We start from the raw sequence: 23,812 nt of genomic DNA, 5'->3' as shown, positions 1-23,812 counted from the left end.
CTATTTTTTTTTTGTAGAGACGGGGTTTCACTGTGTTGCCCAGGATGGTCTTGAATTCCTGAGCTCAAAGCAATCCTCCCGCCTCTGCCTCCCAAAGTGCTGGGATTACAGTTTAAATTGACTTTAAATTATGCCTCCCTGTAGCAACTTATCATCTCAATCTTCTGCCTTCTTGATTGAATACAGAACTCCGACCCTCTTCCTTATGTAACAGCCCTTTGGAGATTTGAAGAAGGTTGTCATAGTGAAGTAGCTCTAGAGGTTCTGTGTCACTGAGAATTACAGCGGAATTCCTCAGAATAAAAAAGGAAACTCAAAAATTAAATCTTGTGAAGTTTGTTTGCTACATCTATTCTTTGTGCATAAAAGTGCTTCAGGGAAGTAATATAACTACATCTAACTTATGAAAGTCTAAGTTGGTCCTGGGGAATTAATAAAATTCCTGAAGATTCACAGAAGAGTTGATGGCAAGGCACTGGAATGTGGCGTGGAGAAAGTGATAGCCTGAAATTTGGTTCTGAGTTCTCTCAGCCCTCCTTTCCATCCCCTTCTATGCCCATCCTTACCCCAGCCTCCTCACCTTCTCTCCTCACACTCTCAGAACACTTACCCTATTTGGAATAAAACTAAAATCCTCTTGGAATACTTCATTATCTTCATCTGATGTGACCTGGGTAAATAACTCCCCTCTGGACCTCAGTGCCTGGATTTAAGATATGGACAAGACTAGATGCTCTGAGATCCCTTACACCCTATCACCAACATACTCGAAGCTGGAAACAGCCTCATGATATTCCTACTCAAGGCGTATCACCTAAAACTAAAGAAAAACTCTTTGAATATTATGGGAATTCCATACCCTTGAATATGTGGGAACAGGATGGTTCTTAGGCAAAGGGACCACTGCCCTCTCAACTCATAGGCACCAGCTGCTGCCTTCTCCAGCTAATGGAAAGGCTGCAGCCCAAGGTAAGGATGCAGGAAAGCCTATTCCCCTCAACTGTTTTGTAAAGCTTTCTATGCATGATCCACAGCAGAGACTCTTAACTTTCAATGTGTCACCAACCTCTTTGGCAGTCTGGAGAAATGCACAAAATAAAATACACAGGATTGCAAAGGAAGCCAATTTTATTGAAATGCAATTTCATTGAAATCAAATTCTTAAACATTTAAATCTGTCACATAATAGATGTGCTTCTTTATTAACATATTAAAGATTACAAGACCTAGGGGGTGGATCTAATTATTACCATAATTTCAGAGTGGTGCTGTACATAAATATTTTAAGATATCTGTAACGTGGATATCTGTGATTCCTAGTGATGACAGAGACACAGGTACTAATACTGCTGTGGTTTGTTGCCTATTTTCCTGATGGAAATAAATAAAAACTTTTTTCCATCGAAGTTTTCAGATTTCCTGATTTCTATCCTCTGGCCCCTTTAGATTCACAGATTCCAATTTAAGAACTCCCAGTCTATAATAATGCAAGTTTTCGTAAGTTGTACATAGATGGAATCAGAGAAATGGAAGTAAGGTGAAGAGCCTCACTGACTGGCTGGCTGCTCAGGCAGGGCCTCACGGGATGGTTACACCCTGTGGATCCTGAGCCTGCTCCTCATTTTCAAATGTTCAGAAACTCAGTTTGTCTCAGTTCTTCTGGGGGCACCCTGGCTTTTGAGAGACAGATTCATAAAAATCAGAGTCACAAGGGACTTACTGATTTTTTTAAGGCCCACTTCAGATTCTTGATTTTTTTCTCCTTTCAGATTTCAAACAATGTCAAAGGACATTATTCTTGTCCTTTGAAAATATGATCTTATGGCAGGCCAACATTTTAGCATCGTTTCTATGGCTCACTTACAATGACAGCCATCTTGCAGGCACACGTCTAAAGAGGTTACCTTCCATTTCTGTGAAGTCAAAAATCTCCATAAGTGCTTTTGCACTTTTTGAGGAAATTGAAAAGTAACCAAAAGCTTTCATTATGAAAGTCTCAATGTCACATTTAAGCAACTCACATCCCTTTTTAGCAGTGTTGTATATAAGATGTACAAGGCATTGAATGGATAAGATCTTTTCATTTTCTTTGGTAAGAAGTTTGTAGACTGAATGCAATTTGCCAAAATTTTACATCTATACTGTCTGACGAATACACAGATAGATGAGCTAAGTCTAGTTTGTATTTAGACAAAATATCAACAATATTTTATGATTTCAGCAGTTTCATTAAAATCCTCACAGAAATGAAGAAGATGATTTGAAACTCCTGTTTTCAAGTCAAAGTACCTAACAGCTAGAGGGAACATATTTTTGCTGCCATGATTTGGCATATTACTTAAAATTGATGTACTGTAGAAACCAGGATTGTTGGTGAGATATGACAGAAATTGGCTTTATACTGTAAGGAGCCAACACATCTGTTATCAAAAAATTTCCCTTCTTCTTTGTCCAGAGGATATTTTAGCTGCAATTCTTGAATCAGGAAATGAAACTTTACTCAGTTTCATAGAGCAATCAAGGGAACGCTATGACAATGCAGGCTTATTTGCCTGGTATGCCCATGCTAATTCAGCAGCTGCTATTTTTGACTGAGCATTGGTGTCTTTTGGGGAAACAAAGGTATTTTTGATTGGTTTAGAAGCATTCACCTGTCCCATCTTACTTGTGAGATTTGCCCTCCATATGTGCTTGCACATCCCCTTCTCCACCATGTCCAATCTCAAATTTTTTTCTGTATATTATGTAGTATGCTCTGTTTTGGTTATTTACCTTCCTAGTTCAGTAGTATGTGTCCTTCCATCCATCATCAAAATTACATAGTCGTTTAGCCTTCTTCTTCAGTGATGGGGTCATGGTTGCATTGGTATTATAACCATTCTCATTATCTGACCTCTTAGAAAACATGGTCACAATATTCACAATGTTAAAAAATTAAACTAGCACTATCTTGTTACAAAGCACACCAATTAATCCACAGGCAAAGTCGAAGATGAACTATTAATAATCATTATATACACTTAAGCCACATCACTTTGAATGATGCAACGATGGATGGATGACCATTCTGAACTACAAATTATGGTTGCCAGTATCAGTGGTCAAATGGGTGACAACAAGTAAAGATGAATAATCTGTGCCGTATCCATTTGATAGACAATGTTGCTTTCAGACCCTCTAAAACTTACGGGTTTTGTGCATTTCCTCCAACCTTCCACACTTTGTTGCTAAAACCAGGATTATTTACATTCCAGGGAAGGGTCTCCCAGGACACAATGCTCTCAATGCTAAAATGGGATGGTTGGTTACCCTATTGGGTTGCCATTAACCAAAGGGCTACCTCTCCAGAGGCAGGAGGGGAGGCACATGGAGGTAGAGACTCCTCACCTTGCTTCCACTGATGGTGTTAAATTTCTCCAGAATATTTCTCACAGGTTCCTCTTCTTTGGGGGGTGACGAAAACAAGACATTGTCTTTTGTTAGACTTTGGATCCACTGAAAGTTCAATGGCCTCCATCTGGAAACACAGGCAAAGCTCAGGGCCAATGCCTTCCCCTGGCTCAGGCCCTAAAGGGAACTCAGAAAAGGCGGCCCTCCAAAGGCAAGAAAGGAGGTGAGAGCAGCTCCACTGACAACTCCACCAGCCAAGGAAAACAGAAAAAAGCATCCACTGGTGGCTGGTGGGGAGCATAAACCATATCCTGGGGAGAAATTCACCTCCCCAAACTCACCAAAGTACTCCCTTACCTTCTCCTCAGTGGCTTTGGGAGTTCAGGTGCCCTGCAAAGATTTTCTTCACAGGATATTTCTTCATGACAGTGGCTTTTTGGGGGTCCATGCTATGGCAGCCCAGCCTGTGCTCCTTCTGCTCTAGGATCTGTTCCAACAGAAGGGTAAGTGGATCAATCATCCAGATTTGCCAAGGACTAAGGGGTTTGGGGACTTTCAGGGCTAAAACCAGAAGTAAGGAGTTTCCTAGGAAGCAGGACTGTCAGTGCTAAAACCACAGCTAAGGGATTTCCCAGGATGAGGGACTTTTAGCATTAAAACTGGGACGGTTCAGTTTCCCAAGATGTAAGACTTTCAGTGCTAAAACCTGGACAATTTCTTCTGAGAAGGGGGTTAAGTAGACTCTGGTTCTAATTCTGTTTGGCATTTCTTAGTAGCATTACCCGAGGCAGGTTCTTTCTTTCTGAGCCACAAGATTCTACCACAGGTGGAATACACAAACTACAGGTGCACAAAATATTTTATCCCCTCCAAACACACCACCCTCTACCTAAGCCTGACTTCCCAATTTTCTCCAAAACAGAAATCCACCTGGTTTACCTCAACACATATAAATCGGTCCTCACTCCCTCTGAACCTTTTGTCCATGCTCTGAGTTTTCTTCCTGGCCTGACAGTCCCAGTCTAAGACTTGCTTCCTCCAGACATAAAGCTGCGCTACAGGGTTGGAATCCTTGCTGTTCCACGCTTTACTCACTATGTGGTCTCTTCTAGTTGCTTAATCCTCTCTGCATCTTAGTTTTTCCTTCTGTAAAATGGCACTGAAATGCTTATCTAAGAATCTTTGGGTGTTTTTCTAATCCTTATATGTGAAGCATTTAGTGCAGGGGCCCAAACAGGTACTAAATGTCCACTCTCCCCTTCCTGGACCACTCCCGCCCATATATTTAATACTTTTCACTTCCCACTTAATCCATACAGGAACAAGTTCCTAAACTCTGCTTCCCCCAGTGCACTTGGCCACATGCAGCTCAGACAAAATGATCATGATCCAGGAATGCCTTCTCTTGGAAATGCAATCCTGCACACACAGACCTTTGATGGAATACACAGCTTACCTTCTCTACGGGGGCTGCAGCTTTCAAGATAGCAAACGTCAACCCTCTTGGTCTTCCAGTGTTGGGATTCATTTTGGGGGATGGTCCACGACCTCTTCAATTGTGGTGAAACAGTCTTTTGGGTCCTTTTTGCTGGTATCCCAGCTCTGGTTCATTGGTGAGACGAACGGTAGGGTGAGACACATGGCCACGAGAAGTCTTACGACAAAGCCATGCGCTTAGAAAGTCTTACAAGAAAGGCAAGAGTTTGGGAGGGCTGGATTTCCCAAAGCTTTCACTGGGAGGATTACAAATAAAGCTACCACCCATGGCAAAGTGTCTACACCCACCCACTCTGGGTCTGCAAAGATTCTACCTCCGACAGCTGTTCACAAATCTACTCTACCTCCTTACTGAGATCCACCTTGGTCCTAACAGAACTTAACATCACCACAAACCCCCAGGGTGGGAGAGGAAAAGGAAAGGCAACCTCTCAGGGCGCAGGCCCCATGCACTCGTCACAGGTGGAAGTTAGTCTAAAAACCCTCTTATCAAAGGGCTGTCGTCTCTTCTATCCCTGTCTTCCCCGGCGCTTAGGTGTCGCTCTCAAGGAACTCGGTCTTCCTGGGCAGAGCCCGCGGTCAGATCCTGACTCCGAGCCCAGGTGGAGGGAAGGAGAGAAGAGGAAGGGAGGGATGGGAAGCCTTGCCCGGGTCGGAGCGCACATCCTCCTCCCGAGTCTCCGCTCTCTCCCCTGGGCGGCTCCTGGACGGCGCAGACGTCGATCCCACAGGTCCAGCCAACTCCCACAGCACCTGCCCCGCGTCCCCCTAGTTCTTGCCGCCGTTCTGGTTGGCCTTGGCGCCGTTCTGGCCCCGCCCCGGCGACCCGCCGTCGGCGGCTGCCTCGTATGGGTTCTCGGTGGCGCCCGTAGTCCCCAAGACCTTCTTCCTCTAACTTGCTTCTAACACACCCGGCAGGGGAGCAACCGCCTCAGCCTGGGACAGCCCGGCTTTGTGGGAGCAGCGGGCGCGCTTTATAAGGTCCGAGTTAGGGGACGGACCCACCTTGCCCAAACTACATGTTTATTGGCTAGTTTTGCCTGACACTCAGCCAGGCACCGCTGTCCCATTGGCCGCGCTCTAAATCCCGCGGATTTGTCCTCTAGCAACGTCTCAGAGCCAGGACCCTGGAGAGGGTCCAAGAGATCCCGCGGAAGGATTGCAGGGGCAGGTCCAGGGCCAAGAGGCTCCCATGCGCCCTCCGCCCGCCGAGCCCGCAGCCTCTCGACCCCGCGCGTCTGTGTCAAGGCATGGCCAAAGTGAGAAAGAGCCAAGACAAAACAAGTTCAAATAGCAATAGCAAAACAACCAAAAGGAAATTCAAGGAAAGCAAATATAAATGAGAAAAATATAATTAAGCAAAAATGAATGTTCGCAAAGGCAAGACAAAAAACCAAGTCAAGGAGTAGGTTCAAAGAAAAGATGAAACGTGAATATAATTTAGGATATTTATACCGATTCCTATTGAAATCTCGACAAGTAAAAATTTTACTGTCAGTGAATCAAACTTTCATCCTTCTTGCCTTTCCTATGAAAGGGCAGCAGGGGGCACTAGATGCTAGGGTTTGATTCGGCTAGGAAAGGCGTTTTAGCACGTTATTTGCAAACACAAAATAGTGTTCTGTTAAAGTTCAGAGATAGTTATAAAAGTTAACAGGAAGTGGGGAAACTAGAGTGATGGTCTACAATCTGGGATGTTAAAGAGACTGAATACAGTCACAGGTTCTTAGTTTCTGTTTCTGGCTGGGCCAGTAAAGCCCCTTCCTCATCCCTCTTTTCAGCTTCATTAGAGACAGAAACTAAAAACCACGGCTTCAGGCTGCTAAAAGCCTAAAACAAAACAAAACAGAACAACAACGACAACAGAATAAGGCGGGTTGGACAAGCTTAGTACATAGAAGAATGTGCGAAAAAGGTATATGATTTCTGTACACCCTGTTGGCTAAGTAGTACAGTGTCCTGAAATACTGGGAGGGTGGCAATTACAAAGAGTAAGGGGCAGTTTTTCAGAGGTGAGCTCTGAAAAAGATGCAGGACAGTGGAGAGTGACCACCAGGGCGCCAGGCTGACTCTCTGTCCTCAGCCTGCCATATGGACCCGTTTTGAACTTTTACCAAGGCCATGGGACTTTCCATGCTAAAACCAGGACCGAGGGTTTCCCAGACAAGGGACTTTCCTATAAGCAATAATGGTTACAATAACAACAACAACAAACAACAAACACTTAATGAGTACCTATTGTGTGCCAGGAACTATTCTAAGCATTTTACAAGTATCAACTCTTAATCTTCACAACAACCCTTGAGGTAGATACTCTATCCTCCCTACCTTACAGAGGTGGAAACTGAGGCAACTCACCAAAGGTCATGCAAACAGCTAAGAAGTGTCAGATCCAGGCTTTTTGCTTGTTTTTTGTTTTTGTTTTTGTTTTGAGAACGGAGTCTCACTCAGTCTCCCAGGTTGAAGTGCAGTGGTGCGATCTCAGCTCACTGCAACCTCTGTCTCCCAGATTCAAGCGATTCTCATGCCTCAGCCTCGCGAGTAGCTGGGATTACAGGCACTCGCCACCACGCCCGGCTAATGTTTGTATTTTTAGTAGAGATGGGGTATCACCATGTTGGCCAGGCTGGTCTCAAACTCCTGACCTCAAGTGATCTGCCCACCTCGGCCTCCCAGAGAGCTGGGATTATAGGTGTGAGCCACCGTGCCCGGCCCAGATCCAGGTTTAAGAAAAGTGTAGGTGTGCAGGCTCTGCTGTCATTCTGTCCGGGTTTAAGTCAAAGCTCCACCACATACATTAATACAGGAAAATACATAACATTATGACTAGCACGTAAGAGATACTCAATAGTATTTGCCATTATTATTAAAAAGAGTTGTCCCTGGTATCCAGAAGCTTAAACTTTAGTGGAAGAGGTTCATAAGAGTCTTAAAGCAGTAGTAGTGCTTATTGGATGGGTGAATGGAATAGATAATAAATGCATATAAGCATCCAGAGGAGGAACAGTTCTGAAATAGAGTGGTCAGGTATTCAATGTGGCACCCATTTAAAATTCTGCCTGAGCATCCTGCATGTCACCATTAGAAGGCAGCTTCTGCTTCTCAACAGCTTGAGCTAATCATTACAGTCTTGGTATTTGATGATCACAGGCATGTGTATGTTTAACTAAAATATACTCTTCTGGGCTTTTTTTAAGAGACAGGATCTCACGCTGTTGCCCAGGCTGGAATGCAGTGGCAAGATTATAATTCACTGTGGCCTCAAATTCCTGGGCTCAAGTGATCCTCTCATCTTAGCCTCCCAAGTAGCTGTAACTGCCACACCCAGCTAAGGCGATCAATTGTTATTTGTCACTACTATTCTGTTAAAAAACGGTGTAATATCTACTTTTTTAACTGGAGAAAGCATTTATTATTATTTTTTGGAGTTAACATTTATTAATTCAACAAGCAACTATGAGATGTCAAGCCCTGGAATAGGACTTAGAAATCAACAGACTGCCATGTCAGAGACTAACTCTGAAGTAAGGAGAGTGGGAAGGGCTGTTATTTTAATTGAAACCTGAAGTCTGAGAGGGAGCCAGCAGGCCAAGAGCCAGGGGAGCCACAATGCGGGCAGCGAGAATGGACCAAGCAAAGGCCCTGGGTGGGGAAAGGGCTCTGTGCCTCATAAGAACCAAATGATGCCGCTTAGGGCTGAAGATTTGTGAATTAGAAGCAGAGTGAATTGGTTCAGCAACAAGCTATGTTCACAAAGAATCTGGGCTGAATATGGTTTCTGCCTCTGAGTCTTCTATTTAAATCAAATGGGCTGTGCAGTCTCCAGATGTTGCTGAATGGAAACTTTGCATGATGGGGTGAGAGGTAATCTTTGTGTGTAGCTTGTTTTTCATTGGTTGCCCTTAACTGAATTTAATGCAACATGTCTCTGTACATTGAAGGCCAGAAGAGCCTCTGTCTTGGATGACATGACTACTGACTCTTCTATTTGGCTTTAACAGTAAAAGAACTGTGTTCTTCTCTATGGTAAATGGATTTACATGCATTCACTGGCATATATGGACAAGACAACTTCATCTTTTCTAAAAGAGATTTTCTTGGAAATAAAAAACAAAAACAAATATTAAAGATAACTCAATCTTTCCTATTCTGTTTGTCCCCATGGAGCTGCTACTGTACTTGTGATTCTTGGAGTGTAAAAATCAAACAGGAAATTGGCTTGGTGAGAAAGAAGACTTGATGTGCAGGGCTAATCTATGTGTCTACAGGTCTCTGTGAGCAAACAACCTAATGCAATGAAAATGGCATCCTTCAGGAAAAACAGATTATCTTATCTGATAAGGTTGCCTCTTCTCATTACATTAATGTTACTCTGATAACACATTTTAAACAATGTTTTTAATTTAAAAGAAAAAGTCCCAAGAGAAGGCTTAGACTGAAAAATAGGGCATGATAATACTTGAAAATATGCAACTCAGGAACCTTCTAAAATCCTCTCAACAATGCAATGGGACACGCTCACTGTTAAGGTCAAATTGGGTACAAGTTTAATGAGAGAAACGGTTCAGTCCCTTTCTCCCTCCTTTCTTTTATAGTTTGTTCTAAGAGGGCTGCTCGTTATAACAAGTTTAAGCGGGATCTCTAAGAAATTTCATAGAAAGGGCTGGGCACAATGGTTCACGCCTGTAATCCCAGAGCTTTGGGAGGCTGAGCCCCCAAAGGGCATATGGCTTGAGCCCAGGAGTTTGAGACCAGCCTGGGCAGCACAGTGAAACCCTATCTCTACAAAAAATACCAAAAACTTGCTGGGTGTGGTGGCATGCCTGTAGTCCCAGGTACTTGGGAGGCTGAGATGGGAGGATCACCTGAGCCCTGGAGGATGAGGCTGCAGTGAGCCAGGATTGTGCCACTGCACTCCAGCCTGGGTGACAGAGTGAGAGACCCTGTGTTAAAAAAAAGAAAAAAAAAATTCTTGGAAATAAGGGGAGTGAATATTAAAGGGATCTGAAATGCCAGCCAGGTGTAGATGAAGTGTTACTTTTGAAACAGAACAACACACCTGTAACACCTTACGCAGACTGTGGAACACCTAGGAGCATTTTTATAGCTCTCCTCTCAGGGTTCATTTCATAAAGATTACAGTAGCCCTCTTATCCATGGAGAGTACATTCCAGGACCCCTGGTGGATGCCTGAAACTGAATAGTACTGAACCGTATTACAGTCTACTATGTTTTTTTGATCTGATAACCAAGAGGGCTACTAAGTGACTAAACAAAAGGTAGCATAGACAGCATGGATATGCTGGACAAAGGGATGATTTTCATCTCAAGTGGGCTGGAGCAGTTGGTGTGAGATTTTATCATGCTACTCAGAATGGTGCACAATTTAAAACTTATTAATTATTTCTGGAATTTTTCCATTTAATATTTTTGGACAACCATTGGCTAAAACCGCAGAAAGTGAAACTATAAATCTACTGTATTGGGATGAAGATGAAGGGGAAGGAATTGCATTATTCATGAAATGGCTTTTTAAGACATTTTTGGGGCCAGGCACGGTGGCTCACGCCTGTAATCCCAGCACTTTGGGAGGCTGAGGCAGGTGGATCATTTGAGGTCAGGAGATTGAGACCAGCATTGAGGCCAACATGGTGAAACCCCATCTCTACTAAAAATTAAAAAAAGAAAAAATTAGCCAGGTGTGGTGGCACGCACCTGTAATCCCAGCTACTGGGGAGGCTGAGGCAGGAGAATTGCTTGAACCTGGGAGGCAGAGCTTGCAGTGAGCAGAGATTGCGCCACTGCACTCCAGCCTGAACGACAGAGTGAGACTCCACCTCGAAAAATAAATAAATAAAACATTTTTGGTAAATTATTCCAGTAGCAAAGTAGTTAGTAATGTTGGCTTTTAGGCTTAAGTTTTCAATTAGTGAAGTCAGATGAATAAGAAATGTCCAAGGCCTCTCCCTCATACTGACTGAGGCTGTGGCCAAAATGTAATAGGATGCGTCTATGTTGTTCCTTTTTACAAAGATATCTCTATAAAGAGAACTTTAGGAAAACTTTTGTTTCCTTCTCTTCTTAAACATCTCAGAGGCTTCTGAGATGCTTAATTCAGTGGTTCCCAAATTTGCTGCCTGTTGGATCACCTGGACATCTTTTAAAAATACTGATGTCTGGCTCCTTCTCCCGACATTGTAATTTAATTGCTATGGGCTGCAACCTAGGTATGAGAAGTGTTTTGTTGTTGTTTTGAGACAATTTTCTCTTATCGCCTAGGCTGGAATGCAATGGCGCAATCTCGGCTCACTGCAACCTCCTTCTCCTGGATTCAAGCGGTTCTCCTGCCTCAGCCTCCCGAGTAGCTGGGATTACGGGTACCTGCCACACATCGGGCTAATTTTTGTATTTTTAGTAGAGACAGGGTTTCACTATGTTGGCCAGGCTAGTCTCAAACTCCTGACGTCAGGTGATCCCCCCTCCCCGCACCGCCTCCGCCTCCCAAAGTGCTGGGATTACAGGCATGAGCCACCATGCCCGGCTGGGGAGTGTTTTTAAAATTAATTTTTTTATATTGAGATAGTTGCAGAATTACATGCAGTTGTAAGAAATAACACAAACAGTTTCCCTCAATGGTGTTTCCCCCAATGTTAATATCTTCCAAAATTCTAATAATACAATATCACAAACAGGACATTGACTTTGATACCGTCAAGATACAGAACATTTTCATCACCACAAATATCCTTTCCTCCCGTGGGTCTTTTATAACCACACCCACTTCCCCACCCACTGCAACTTTCTCTTTATCCTCTGGTAAGCTCTCATCTGTTCTCCATTTCTATAATTTTGTCATTTCAAGAATGTTATATAAATATAATCATACCATGAGCAACCTTTAGGGATTAGCTTTGTTCACTCAGCATAATTTTCTGGAGATTCATCCAGGTCGTTGCACGTATCAGTAGTTCATTCCTTTTTATTGCTAACCAGTATTCCACGGTATGGATATGCCACAGTTTGTTTAACCATCTGAATTGTTTCCAGGTTTGGGCTATTAAGAATAAACCTGCTATAAACATTTGTATACAGATCATTTTTGTGAAGATACATTTTTATTTCCCTGAGATAAATGTCTCTGAGTGGAATTATATAACACGTACATATTTAGTTTTTTAAGACACTGCCAAACTGTTTTCCAGAGTAAGCTGTACCATTTTATATTCCTACTAGCAATGAATGAGTGATCCAGTTTCTCCACATTCTTGCCAGATTTGGTGGTGTCACTATTTTATACGTTAGCCCTTCTGCTAGGTGTGTAGTGATATTGCATCATGGTTTTCTCTTTTGTTGTGTGTGTGTGTGTGTGTGTGTGTGTGTGTTTTCCAATGGAACAGCACATTTAATTGTCCTTAGGGTCCTCCTGGAGAGGGATTGTGGGGCCTTTGGCAAAGCTCTGGCCGATGGAAGCAACAGAGATGCCAGCATTTGGAGCTGTCGCTTAAGACAATTTCTGAGACTAGTGGGTAAGGAATGTTGCCTTTGAATAGAGAAGAGGAGACTACATTTAGAAAGGGGGAGAAGTGGTTTGTGTTGTGGAGAGGGACTCTAAGGTCAAGTTAGGAATGACAGGGAGTTGGTCACAAGGTCTTTCTTGGCCAGGTGAGAGCTGTAAGTAGAGTGTGGTGATGGAGTCCAGCAGGGGAACTGTGGGCCAGCTTGACTCAGGCCGGTTTCAGGAACTCCTGCAGCATGTTTTGTTCCACAGCCTCCATGAAGAGCTCAAAGCCTCCACGGTAGTGGTCCCCATTGACAATCCGGGGTGGGGCAGCCTTGGAGTTGCCCACCAAGACTCGCATCTCATCCCTCAGGGCGTTGTCCTGGGAGATGTCCACTAGTTGGTATTAGATGCGCTTCCTATCCAGGATTCAGGTCACCTCACTCTGCTGGGACTTGATTTTGTGGGAGCCAGTGACCGATGTGCTGTAGAGGTGCAGGCTGCTCATGCTGCAGGTAGATTGACAGGCCGGAGGGCAGAGGGCAGCGGTAATGGCAGCTGCACTATGAGGAGACTTCATCGCGGTTTTAATTTGCATTTCTCTAATGGCTAACGATGAGATTTTCATGGGCTTATTTGCCACTATTAGGTGAAATGTCTCTTTATGTCTGCATTAGGCCGTTCTTGCATTGCTTTAAAGAAATACCTGAGCCTGTAGTCCCAGCTATTCGGGAGGTTGAGGCAGGAGAATCGCTTGAACCGGGGTGGGGCAGAGGTTACAGTGAGCCAAAATCGCGCCACTGCACTCCATCCTGGGCAACAGAGCAAGACTCTGTCTCAGTCTCCCTCTCCCTCTCCCTCTCCCTCTCCCTCTCCCTCTCCCCATGGTCTCCCTCTCCCCACGGTCTCCGTCTCCCTCTCCCCCTCCCCATGGTCTCCCTCTCCCCACGGTCTCCCTCTCCGTCTCTTTCCACGGTCTCCCTCTGATGCCGAGCCGAAGCTGGCCTGTACTGCTGCCATCTCGGCTCACTGCAACCTCCCTGCCTGATTCTCCTGCCTCAGCCTGCCGAGTGCCTGCGATTGCAGGCGCACGCCGCCACGCCTGACTGGTTTTCGTATTTTTTTGGTGGAGACGGGGTTTTGCTGTGTTGGCCGGGCTGGTCTCCAGCTCCTAACCGCGAGTGATCCGCCAGCCTTGGCCTCCGGAGGTGCCGGGATTGCAGATGGTGTCTGGTTCACTCAGTGCTCAATGGTGCCCAGGCTGGAGTGCAGTGGCGTGATCTCGGCTCGCTACAACCTCCACCTCCCAGCCGCCTGCCTTGGCCTCCCAAAGTGCCCAGAGTGCAGCCTCTGCCCGGCCGCCACCCCGTCTAGGAAGTGAGGAGCGTCTCTGCCTGGCCACCCATCGTCTGGGATGTGAGGAGCCCCTCTGCCTGGCTGCCCAGTCTGGAAAGTGAGGAGCGTCTCTGCCCGGCCGCCATCCCATCTAGGAAGTGAGGAGCGCCTCTTCTCGGCCGCCATCCCATCTAGGAAGTGAGGAGCGTCTCTGCCCGGCCGCCCATCCTCTGAGATGTGGGGAGCGCCTTTGCCCCGCCGCCCCGTCTGGGATGTGAGGAGCGCCTCTGCCTGGCCGCGACCCCGTCTGGGAGGTGAGGAGCGTCTCTGCCCAGCCGCCCCATCTGAGAAGGGAGGAGACCCTCCGCCCGGCAACCGCCCTGTCTGAGAAGTGAGGAGCCCCTCTGCCCGGCAGCCACCCCGTCTAGGAAGTGAGGAGCGTCTCCGCCCGGCAGCCGCCCTGTCCGGGAGGGAGGTGGGGGTCAGCCCCCGCCAGGCCAGCTGCCCCGTCCGGGAGGGAGGTGGGGGTCAGCCCCCCGCCAGGCCAGCCGCCCCGTCCGGGAGGTGAGGGGCGCCTCTGCCCGGCCGCCCCTACTGGGAAGTGAGGAGCCCCTCTGCCCGGCCAGCCGCCCCGTCCGGGAGGGAAGTGGGGGGGTCAGCCCCCCGCCCGGCCAGCCGCCTCGTCCGGGAGGTGAGGGGCGCCTCTGCCCGGCCGCCCCTACTGGGAAGTGAGGAGCCCCTCTGCCCGGCCAGCCACCCCGTCCGGGAGGGAGGTGGGGGGGGTCAGCCCCCTGCCCCGCCAGCCGCCCCATCCGGGAGGGAGGTGAGGGGGTCAGCCCCCCCGCCCGGCCAGCCGCCCCGTCCGGGAGGGAGGTGGGGGGGTCAGCCCCCCGCCCGGCCAGCCGCCCCGTCCGGGAGGGAGGTGGGGGGGGTCAGCCCCCTGCCCGGCCAGCCGTCCCGTCCGGGATGTGAGGGGCGCCTCTGCCCGGCCGCCCCTACTGGGAAGTGAGGAGCGCCTCTGCCCGGCCACCACCCCGTCTGGGAGGTGTACCCAACAGCTCATTGAGAACGGGCCATGATGACAATGGCGGTTTTGTGGAATAGAAAGGGCGGAAAGGTGGGGAAAAGATTGAGAAATCGGATGGTTGCGGTGTCTGTGTGGAAAGAAGTAGACATGGGAGACTTTTCACTTTGTTCTGTACTAAGAAAAATTCTTATCCTGTTGATCTGTGACCTTACCCCCCAACCCTGTGCTCTCTGAAACATGTGCTGTGTCCACTCAGGGTTAAATGGATTAAGGGCGGTGCAAGATGTGCTTTGTTAAACAGATGCTTGAAGGCAGCATGCTCGTTAAGAGTCATCACCACTCCCTAATCTCAAGTACCCAGGGACACAAACACTGCGGAAGGCCTCAGGGTCCTCTGCCTAGGAAAACCAGAGACCTTTGTTCACTTGTTTATCTGCTGACCTTCCCTCCACTATAGTCCTATGACCCTGCCAAATCCCCCTCTGTGAGAAACACCCAAGAATGATCAATAAAAATAAAAATGAAAATTAAAAAAAAAAAAAAAGAAAGAAATACCTGAGACTGGGTAATTTAGAGGTTTAATTGGCTCACGGTTCTACAGGCTGTACAGGAAGCATAGCTCTGGCATCAGCTTCTAGCGAGGCCTCAGGAAGCTTACATTCATGGTGGAAGGCAAAGCAGGAGCAGCCGCTTCACATGGCAAAAGCAGGAGCAAGGTGGGGGAGGTGCAACATACCTTTTAAATGACCAGATCTCATGGGAACTTACTGTCATGAAGACAGCACCAAGCCATGAGGGATGTGCCCCCATGACCCAAACACCTCCTACCAGACCCCACTTCCAGCATTGGGAATTACATTTCAACATGGGATTTGCGTGGAAGAAAATATCCAAACTATATTAATGTCTTTTGCCCATTTTCTAACTGGAATTTTTTCTCTTACTGTTTAGTTTTGGGAGTTCTTTATATATTCTAAACACTAGTCCTTTGTCATATGTGGTTTGCAAATGTTTTCTTCCAGTCTGTATTTTCATGCTCTCAGCAGTCTTTTGCAAGGTAAAATTTGAAATTTTGATGTGTCAAATTGGTCAATTTTTCCTTTTGTAGTTTTGGGTTTGATTATCCAGCATTATGAACTGAATAGCCTCTATATCAGAGAGTCCCTCACTACAAAAAGCTTTCACGTTAAAACTTTCCAGCCAGATAAGGATATTCATTTTTGTTTTCTTCTTTCATTGTATTGACCTTTTAAAGATGTTTGTGGTTTTAGAGATTCCCTGTGGACATATAGAGACTTAAAGATTCCAAAGATTTGAACTGCAGGACAGCTATGACTTATTATCAGACTTTGTCCTTGACATTACAGACAAGATCTTCTCAAAGAAAGGGCTCTCTGCTAGAGGGCACATGGAGTTGATGGACATAAGGATAATTTCTGAACTCATATACAGGCTACACAAATTCATCAAAGACACAGCCATTGTGTAAAGAAAAAAAAATGTCACCATAATAGGAAGAGGTCAGAAAAAGGCTCAGATATCTCAAGTGCAATTACTATTCATTCATTTAAATGGAGTCCCTACTTATTCATTTAAAAAATAAAATAGGGAGAACTTAGGTGCAGTCCACGGGGGTTAGTCATTATGGGCAGTGCAGTGTGCTTTTTAGAATGTAGAGAAAGAAGGAACTTTTATATGGCGAAGCAATGAGTTTCCGGGTACTGGAGGTTTTCAATAACCAGACCCTGGACCACCACTTGGCAGGGATGTTGCAGAGGTGACTCAGGCACTACAAAGTAAGGTAGACTAGGTGAGCTTTGAGGATCTATCCAATCCTGAGTGCCTCTGGTGTCATGATCCTTCTCCAAGGTAAGATATAGAACTATCCTGGAGAGGAAGAACATAGGCAGGACAGATCCCAAGAAGCCTGAGCAAGGCACCAGGAAGGAGCCAGCTGACTGGAGAGGGCCTCCTTAGAATAAGTTGGATTTATGGAGCTGGGAAAGACTTTGGAGGAAGGCTATTCATGCTCTTGATAAAGAGATGGAGAAACTGTTAGTCAAATAAGCTGGGCTATAATGTATTAAAAAACAAAGTATGAAATCTCAGTGGTTTAACAGGAGGATAGTTTATTGCTCACTTGTGCAATTGCACATAGATGTTCCTGGTCAGTCAAGTGATGACTCAGTGATCCAGGTTCCTTCCATCTTGTCTGATGGCTCTTCAACACATGGCCTCTAAGGTCAATGTGAAAGGGAAACAGATTTTTGGAAAGGCACCCTGGATACTTAACATCCAAACCCAGAGCATGGCATGCAGCACTTTCCCTCACATCCATAAGCAGGATTGATCACACAGCCAACCTCATTGCAAGGGAAGCTGCAAAACAGGGAAGACCAAACAGACCCTGGTGTATACCAATAGTTTCTGCCACAAGAGATCAAGGCCCACAGGGATGCCATGATTTTGCTGTGACCATCGTGTTAATGTTGACAAAACTAAGAATTTATTCCCAATAGGATTTCTAATAGGGTTAAATGTGGTATAAGATGGTATTTGAAGCCTTCCATGACCTGGTCCTGGGAAATCCACCATCTTTTCTGCCACTCTCTGCCTGTCAGCTAATACCCCAATAAAATAGAACCGTTTATACTTCCCACCTCTACTTTTCTTGATATCTTTGCTCAGACTGCCCCTTATTTAGGAGTGAATACCTTCTGCCACTTTACCTAGCTTCTTCTACTTGTTCTTTCAGAATCAATTAAAACATCTGTTCTTCTTGAAAACTAATCTCAACCTCCTGATCTCCACTCCCCAGACTGGGCTAGGTATCCCTCTGTGCTCCCGCATTATCCTATCCATGTTTTTGTTTTAAATCATCATAGGGTATTTAACATCATGTCGTTATTCATTTATGATTCTATCTCCCTAACTAGATTGTGTACTCACTGCAAGGAAATGGCATCATTTTTTAAATTAACATACAGTAAAACTGACTTTTTTGGTATACAGTTTGTGAATTTTAACACATGTAAATTGATATTTTCTTGGTTCTTTGTATGCTGAATAACTTTGGATCATATCCTGGACATTTTGAATATTAGCTTGTGAGACTCTTGGTGTTATTTAAATCAGATGGAATGTTGACATTTTTGCTTTAGCCATCAGTCAAACCAGTTGATTTCAAGCTCCAAGTTCCGACCAACCTTCTGTGGGTTGCAGCTTCAATGTCAGTTCTGTTTGCAAAGGCTTTGCAGTGCAATGCAGATCCAGCTGATGTATATGCCACCTAGTGGCCAGTCTGGCACATGGGTAATGGTCTCTCCCATAGTTCAGTTCTCAAAGTTTAAAGATACGCTTTTCATGGTCAGATCTATGTATGCACCATTTGGGAATAAGCCGAAGTTTGTTCTTTCTTTCTTTTCTTTCTTTCTTTTCTTTTCTTTTCTTTCTTTCTTTCTTTCTTTCTTTCTTTCTTTCTTTCTTTCTTTCTTTCTTTCTTTTTCTTTCTTTCTTTTCTTTCTTTCTTTTTCTTTCTTTTTCTTTTTTCTCTTTCTTTCTTTCCTTCTTTCTTTTTCTTTCTTTCTTTTTCTCTCTCTCTTTCTTTCTTTCTTCCTTGTCTTTTCTTTTTCTGAGACAGGGCCTTGCTGTCTCACCCCGGCTGGAGTGCAATGTCATGATCATAGCTCACTGCAACCTGGAACTCCTGAACTCAAGCAGTCCTCCCACCTCAGCCTCTCAAGTAGCTGGGACTACAGATGTACACCACGATGCCCAGCTAATTTTAATTTTTTTTTGTAGGCACAGGGTCTCACTATGTTGTCTAGGCTAGTATCGAGCTCCTAGACTCAAGGGATCCTCCCTACTCAGCCTCCTGAAGTGCTGAGATTACAGGTGTGAGCCACTGCACCCACTCTCAAGTTTTTAAAACAACTTCATGGGGTCACTTTCCCAGCTCTCTCCTCTCTGAGATCTCCCTGGTACATTCTGGTTCCCTAAAGCCTAAAAGTCCCTTTTTGAGCCTAATCTGCTCTGCATTTCCCATAACTGGGCCCTTGTCTGGGGTTGTTGTGGTCACTCAACCAAAATGAAATGGGCCCCTCCCCAAAACAAAATTTAGTTTGGATATTGAGATCAATGATGCCACACATGCAACAAGAGGGGAAGAAGAGGCTTATCACTCACATGATGAAGCTTTCTGGGGAAAGCAGAAAGAGTCCCCAAGTTGATCTGAAAATGGCTTGAGAGAGCCAACAAAGGGTACTGGCTTGTTTTTATGATGGCTAGCGGGTGAGGCTGGGGTGAGAGTTTCTGCATGTGGGCTGGAGCTTACATGGTTTGAACTTCCATCCAGTGCCAAGGGAGCATCTGAGCTCTTACATCAGCCTGCCCAGATGTGGGGCCAAAGGGTATGGGGGAGTGGTGAGGTTTGAAAGCTGTCAGCAGTCAAACATCAAAAATAGAATCAGACTCTTTAATACAGGCGCCAAGTGGTGGGAGGATAGAGAAAAAAACAACAGGCATTTGCGCCACCCTTTGGGAACCACAGTTCTTCCAATCAGAAAGGAAGTTCCTCTCCCTGAGTTTTAGGTGCCTACGGGCCATCACAGGCTGGGTGATGTGAAAGATTAGAAAAAAGAAAAAGAAGGACAAAAGAAAATGGAAAATTTAGGAGACTCCTTTTGCACTCCTCATGTCAGGACTAAAAGGTTTTCCTGCAGCTCTCTCTCTGTTCTTGGCAATGCTCACATCTAGGTTTTAGTCTGCCTTAAATCTAGGCCGGGGAGTACCAGAAGAAAAAAAATCATAAGCTCACCATCAGTTTAGTGGTACTTCAAATTATGGTCTTTTCGTCAATCTACCTGTTAATATTTACTTCTCATGGTATTTAAATACCTGCTTAATGTATCCAGGTTTTATAGCTGCATTTGGTGGGAGAGATATTATTTACTCTACCTTACATGAAACTGAATCCATCTTATTTAATTTTTTATGTCCTGTGCCTAGCACAGTGCCTGGTACAGGGAAGGGACTTAATAGATGTTCTTTGAATGAACAAAGTGAATCCATGAATGAATGAGTGAATGAAGCAAAGTCTTATGACTTATTTACAGATAACACAGAACAACTCATGCCTCCAAGGAACGAATTTCTAATAACTATGACATGGTCAATTTTCCTCCATTCTCTTCCTGGAAGAGTGAGCAATATTATATAGAGAGGCTTTAGCCTAAGTGAGTAAAAAACTGTAACTTTTCTTATTGGATCTTTAAGTCAGAGAAGTCTTTCAAAATCCCAATGTTTTATGTCTCTAGAAAGCATTTGGATTGCACAGGTTTGAGTGAACTTTCTTAAACTCTGTTCCTCCCTTGTGTGCTGTAGAATTAAAATAAAATAAAATTGGCGAGGCTTTTTGACACCAGCACTTCCTTTAGTTGCACATGTTTACATTTACCACCAAAACAGGCTGAACTGCATGTTTAAAAAGGACACTGCAGAGCTCTGCTGTTCATTCATCCCCTGCTCAATGATCTGCATATAAATCATTGAATCCATTTACAATCAGAGGGCTAGAAACCCCCAGCTACTTGAATAGCAAGCTCTTTTATTTCTGCCTCTTTAAAGCTAAGCTGCTCTGACCCCCGACTGCAACAGAACTTAGCTGATGAGTCCAAAACATGAAATTGACTCCAGCTCATCTTTTCCATTCTTGAATTTGGCTTTGACAAGAACCACAGAAGTCAATGGGACCTCTGTATGTGGATGAAATTCCCAGGAAAGTTAGGAAGGGACTGATGATTCATGATATGAAACATCCCAAAGGGACTCTTCCCTCCCTCTTGATTTTGTATCAGTGTGTAGAATTTTGAAAACTGATGCTGATGAGGACAAAATTTCCATCATGAGCTAAACAAGATCCCTGACAGAGAGGAAACATGAGCTTCTGAGAGCCAGAATCCAGTTCTTTTTGCATAGAGGCCACCCCAATACAGAAGGGCACCTGGCCAAGCAGGGCGTACACTCTCAAATGAGTCAGGATTTGACCCCCTTCTGAAGAACCTCTTTTTACCCTACCTGATTCCTTAGAACAAATCAGTTATCTACTCTCAGTCATCAAGTGCCTTTTTTTTTTTTTTTCCTGAGTCTGTATTTCTCTTCTCTCTTTTGGTTTTCCTTGGGTGCTTCGGCTTTTGGAATGGCTTATTCTGTTTTGGTCTATCACAGGTATGCATTGCATTCATATCAGGAATTCTCTCTTATGGCTGGTTTGGCACCCAATGGAGAAGTTAAAACCTTCCATAAGTCAAATCCAGTTCCAGGGAGCTCCAGGGAACTATTCCCGCACTTTCAATGCAGTGGTTTCTGTTTTATCTGAGCTTTGTATTATTTACTGCAATCTGGAACATATTTGGTTATATGAGAATTTGTATTGGCATGGAATTAGTCTGGACACAAAATCCACCTCCTGTCACCACCAGTATAATCCCAAAAGCACAGTAAACTGCTGTGGTTCATCCTGCAGGTAGGCTGTTATTGAGTCTATAGTAACTCCTTGAGAGGACTCCTAAGGGTAGGCTTTGGGCCTCTAAAGACCTGGTCCCCTTTAGGACCTCCCTGCCTCTGCTTTCTTCCTGGTTCCTCACTGGAAATATTTGTTCTTTCATTTATGTCTGGATTCAGCTAATGGGGAAGAAAATGAAACTATGGTTTTTTTTGTCTCTCTTTTTTTTTTCCTCCTTTCTTTCCTCCTCTTCTCTCAAATGCAGAGAAAGGGAGATTAGAATCATAAATGCCTCTTTACCACAAGCACTATGAGTCCCCTTGCACTGTAGAGGTCTCTCTGCTTGTAAAAATTGCACGACTAAAACATGTTTGTTGTAGAAAAATTAGAAGATGTCAATAAAAAGAAAAAATTAGAAGATATTGATTAAAAGAAAAAAATCAAACAAAATTTTCTCCAATAAAAATCAGGCTTCTTGGTCACTTCACTCTTTTCAGTCTTTCTGAGACTCAGTTCTTGTTAATTTTCATCAAGTGTTTTTCCCCTGCGTCCTGGCATTGCCCTTAGCAACCAGCATTTTTTTTTTTTCCAAACCGTTTATCTACGTGGCTTTAAGGAAAGTTTTCTCCCAGATAAAGTACAAAAGGAACATATGTCTGTAATAGAACAAAATATTTTAAAGAGCAATTTAAACAGCTCTCTTATAAGAAAGCTGTGCATCCATACTTACTGCTTCTTTGGTAGGCTTCCTCTGACCAGCCTCAGTCTTTATGTTTCTTGACCCCTAGGGTAATTTGGCCTTTGTGGCTGACTTTTAGAGCTCTCTTTTAAGTCCCCTGAAAAGTGGTTTCTTGCCAGGTCTGACCAATCTCTCCCAGCTCTCATGCCTATAAGAGGTTTCCTTTTCTTGCATGCTGTTAACACATGCAAACTCCTCTTCCCATTTTGTGGGCAAGCGTGGCAGCTGCAAACCTTAATCTATGTAAAAGGAGGCAAGAAATTATTATTTTTTTTTTAGACAGAGTTTCGCTCTGTCGCCCAGACTGGAGTGCAGTGGTGTGATTGCAGCTCACTGCAGCCTCCACCTCCTGGGCTGAAGCAATCCTCCCACCTCAGCCTCCCAAGTAGCTGGGACTATAAGCAGGCACCACCATGCCCAGTTAATTTTTATATTTTTTGTAGAGACGGGGTTTCGCCATATTGCCCAGGCTGGTCTCAAACTCCTGGCATTCTGCCTGTCTCAATCTCCCAAAGTTCTGGGCTTTACAGGCATGAGCCACCATGCCTGGCTAAGAAATTTAATATTCTTTCTTTTTCTATAATGCAACTTATTTTCTACTTCAAACCCCCATTTCATCTGATGGCAGGAACTTAATCTGTCAAGATGGAATTTATACCGTGCACACACTTGTGGGGTTCGCCTAGTCTGGGTCACTATCTATCCACGCTGGCATCCCCTGAGGCATCCCTCTTTCTATTTTGCCTTTGGTCTGCCTAAGTCATCTCTGACCCAAGGCTCCCTAGTTCCAGCTCTCTCTCTGCTCATTTCTTTACTTCTTTGAGGTGAAAAGGATGAGTCTTCTGTTCCCATGCAATGCTAGGAAGAGTGAAAAATCTCAGTCGAGCTATTGCTGACACATTGTTGCATCACTGCCACTCTAAAATGCAGAGGTTTCCTGAGGCTGTTTCAGGCCAGCTATGGCATTTCTGAAACTGGTGAACAATGAAAATTTCAGGTTGGAGATTACAAAATCAGTCTCCCCTTCCCATGGACCCACAGCACCAACCCAGGACAGGCAGGCAACACCAAGGGATTGCAAACTTCCTGCTTGCACACACTTAGCTCCTGGGTTGGAAATGGCAAGAGACTCTGCAGAATTGTCTACCAAATTGCTGTGGCACCAGCAGCCTGGGGCCAAAAGGCCACTGACAGGCATGGAAGGAGACAGACAGCAGGACTCAAGGAGAGGAAGGCCAAGCAGGTAGGGCCTGTGGCACCCAGAAACAGGGCAGTGAGTGGCAGACAACCCATTCCTGGAGGAAGTGGAAGGCAGGACTGAAGGAAAGCCAAGGCTCCAAGCCCCTGGAGCACATGCCATTGTCCCATTGGATTTTACAAGACACAAAATCAAAGATTAAAGTATTAAAAATATCCAGACAGTCATCAAGGAGCATTAAACCCCAGGTTCAGAGCCCTTCTGAGTGTAGTGCCCTGTCCATACACTCATGAACTGACTTGCCTGCATACTTAGATATAGGAAAGCCAGGGAACAGACTTCTTCTTTTACTTGTACTACATCATCCCTTCCCTGATGCAATGAGAATAGAGCTATTCTAGCTGTGGCCTGGAATGGAGAGAGTTGGGGAAGAGAAGCACAGGTAGGGCAGCTTCTAGACTAATAGGAATTATGGGAAAGGGGGAAACCCTAAATTTGTATTTCAAAAAGTTTTCCTACCACCCAAGCATCAGCCGATCTGAGCACTCATGGACTCCTGGCTATATTCTGGCTTCTGATTCACAAGTGGGTTCACCTGCAGGACACCAGCCCCCACCCTCCATTGC

The 23,812-nt window shown here is 44.9% G+C and overlaps 1 long non-coding RNA gene and 1 pseudogene across 2 annotated transcripts, besides 4 other annotated features; both read right to left on the bottom strand.

The window, feature by feature from the left end:
- LOC730101 (uncharacterized) lies at nucleotides 1,113-5,865 on the bottom strand. 2 transcript variants are annotated; one of them, NR_024405.1, is made up of 3 exons: nucleotides 4,847-5,865; nucleotides 3,748-3,877; nucleotides 1,113-3,517 (listed from the first exon to the last, which is right to left on the bottom strand). It is a non-coding gene; the product is annotated as an uncharacterized LOC730101 (long non-coding RNA). The 2 variants fall into 2 exon arrangements; NR_024403.1 differs by having other exon boundaries at nucleotides 1,113-3,877.
- Nucleotides 5,290-5,409: an enhancer, noted in NCBI's record as "active region_24688". NCBI's record gives its function as "activates an Ori minimal core promoter by ATAC-STARR-seq in GM12878 lymphoblastoid cells {active_cell/tissue: GM12878}" and the evidence as "EXISTENCE:reporter gene assay evidence [ECO:0000049][PMID:35858748]".
- Nucleotides 5,781-6,075: a silencer, noted in NCBI's record as "tiled region #5928; HepG2 Repressive DNase unmatched - State 1:Tss". NCBI's record gives its function as "represses a minimal TATA promoter and a strong SV40 promoter by Sharpr-MPRA in HepG2 cells {active_cell/tissue: HepG2}" and the evidence as "EXISTENCE:reporter gene assay evidence [ECO:0000049][PMID:27701403]".
- Nucleotides 5,781-6,075: an enhancer, noted in NCBI's record as "tiled region #5928; K562 Activating DNase unmatched - State 1:Tss". NCBI's record gives its function as "activates a minimal TATA promoter and a strong SV40 promoter by Sharpr-MPRA in K562 cells {active_cell/tissue: K562}" and the evidence as "EXISTENCE:reporter gene assay evidence [ECO:0000049][PMID:27701403]".
- Nucleotides 7,007-7,106: an enhancer, noted in NCBI's record as "active region_24687". NCBI's record gives its function as "activates an Ori minimal core promoter by ATAC-STARR-seq in GM12878 lymphoblastoid cells {active_cell/tissue: GM12878}" and the evidence as "EXISTENCE:reporter gene assay evidence [ECO:0000049][PMID:35858748]".
- Nucleotides 12,273-12,960, bottom strand: LOC724104 (SH3 domain binding glutamate rich protein like 3 pseudogene; annotated as a pseudogene).

This window comes from Homo sapiens, chromosome 6 (assembly GCF_000001405.40).
Source record: "Homo sapiens chromosome 6, GRCh38.p14 Primary Assembly".
In the NCBI taxonomy this organism is placed as follows: Eukaryota; Metazoa; Chordata; class Mammalia; order Primates; family Hominidae; genus Homo; species Homo sapiens.
The sequence above is the reverse complement of the archived record's forward strand: the minus strand, read 5'-3'. Positions and strand labels throughout refer to the sequence as shown.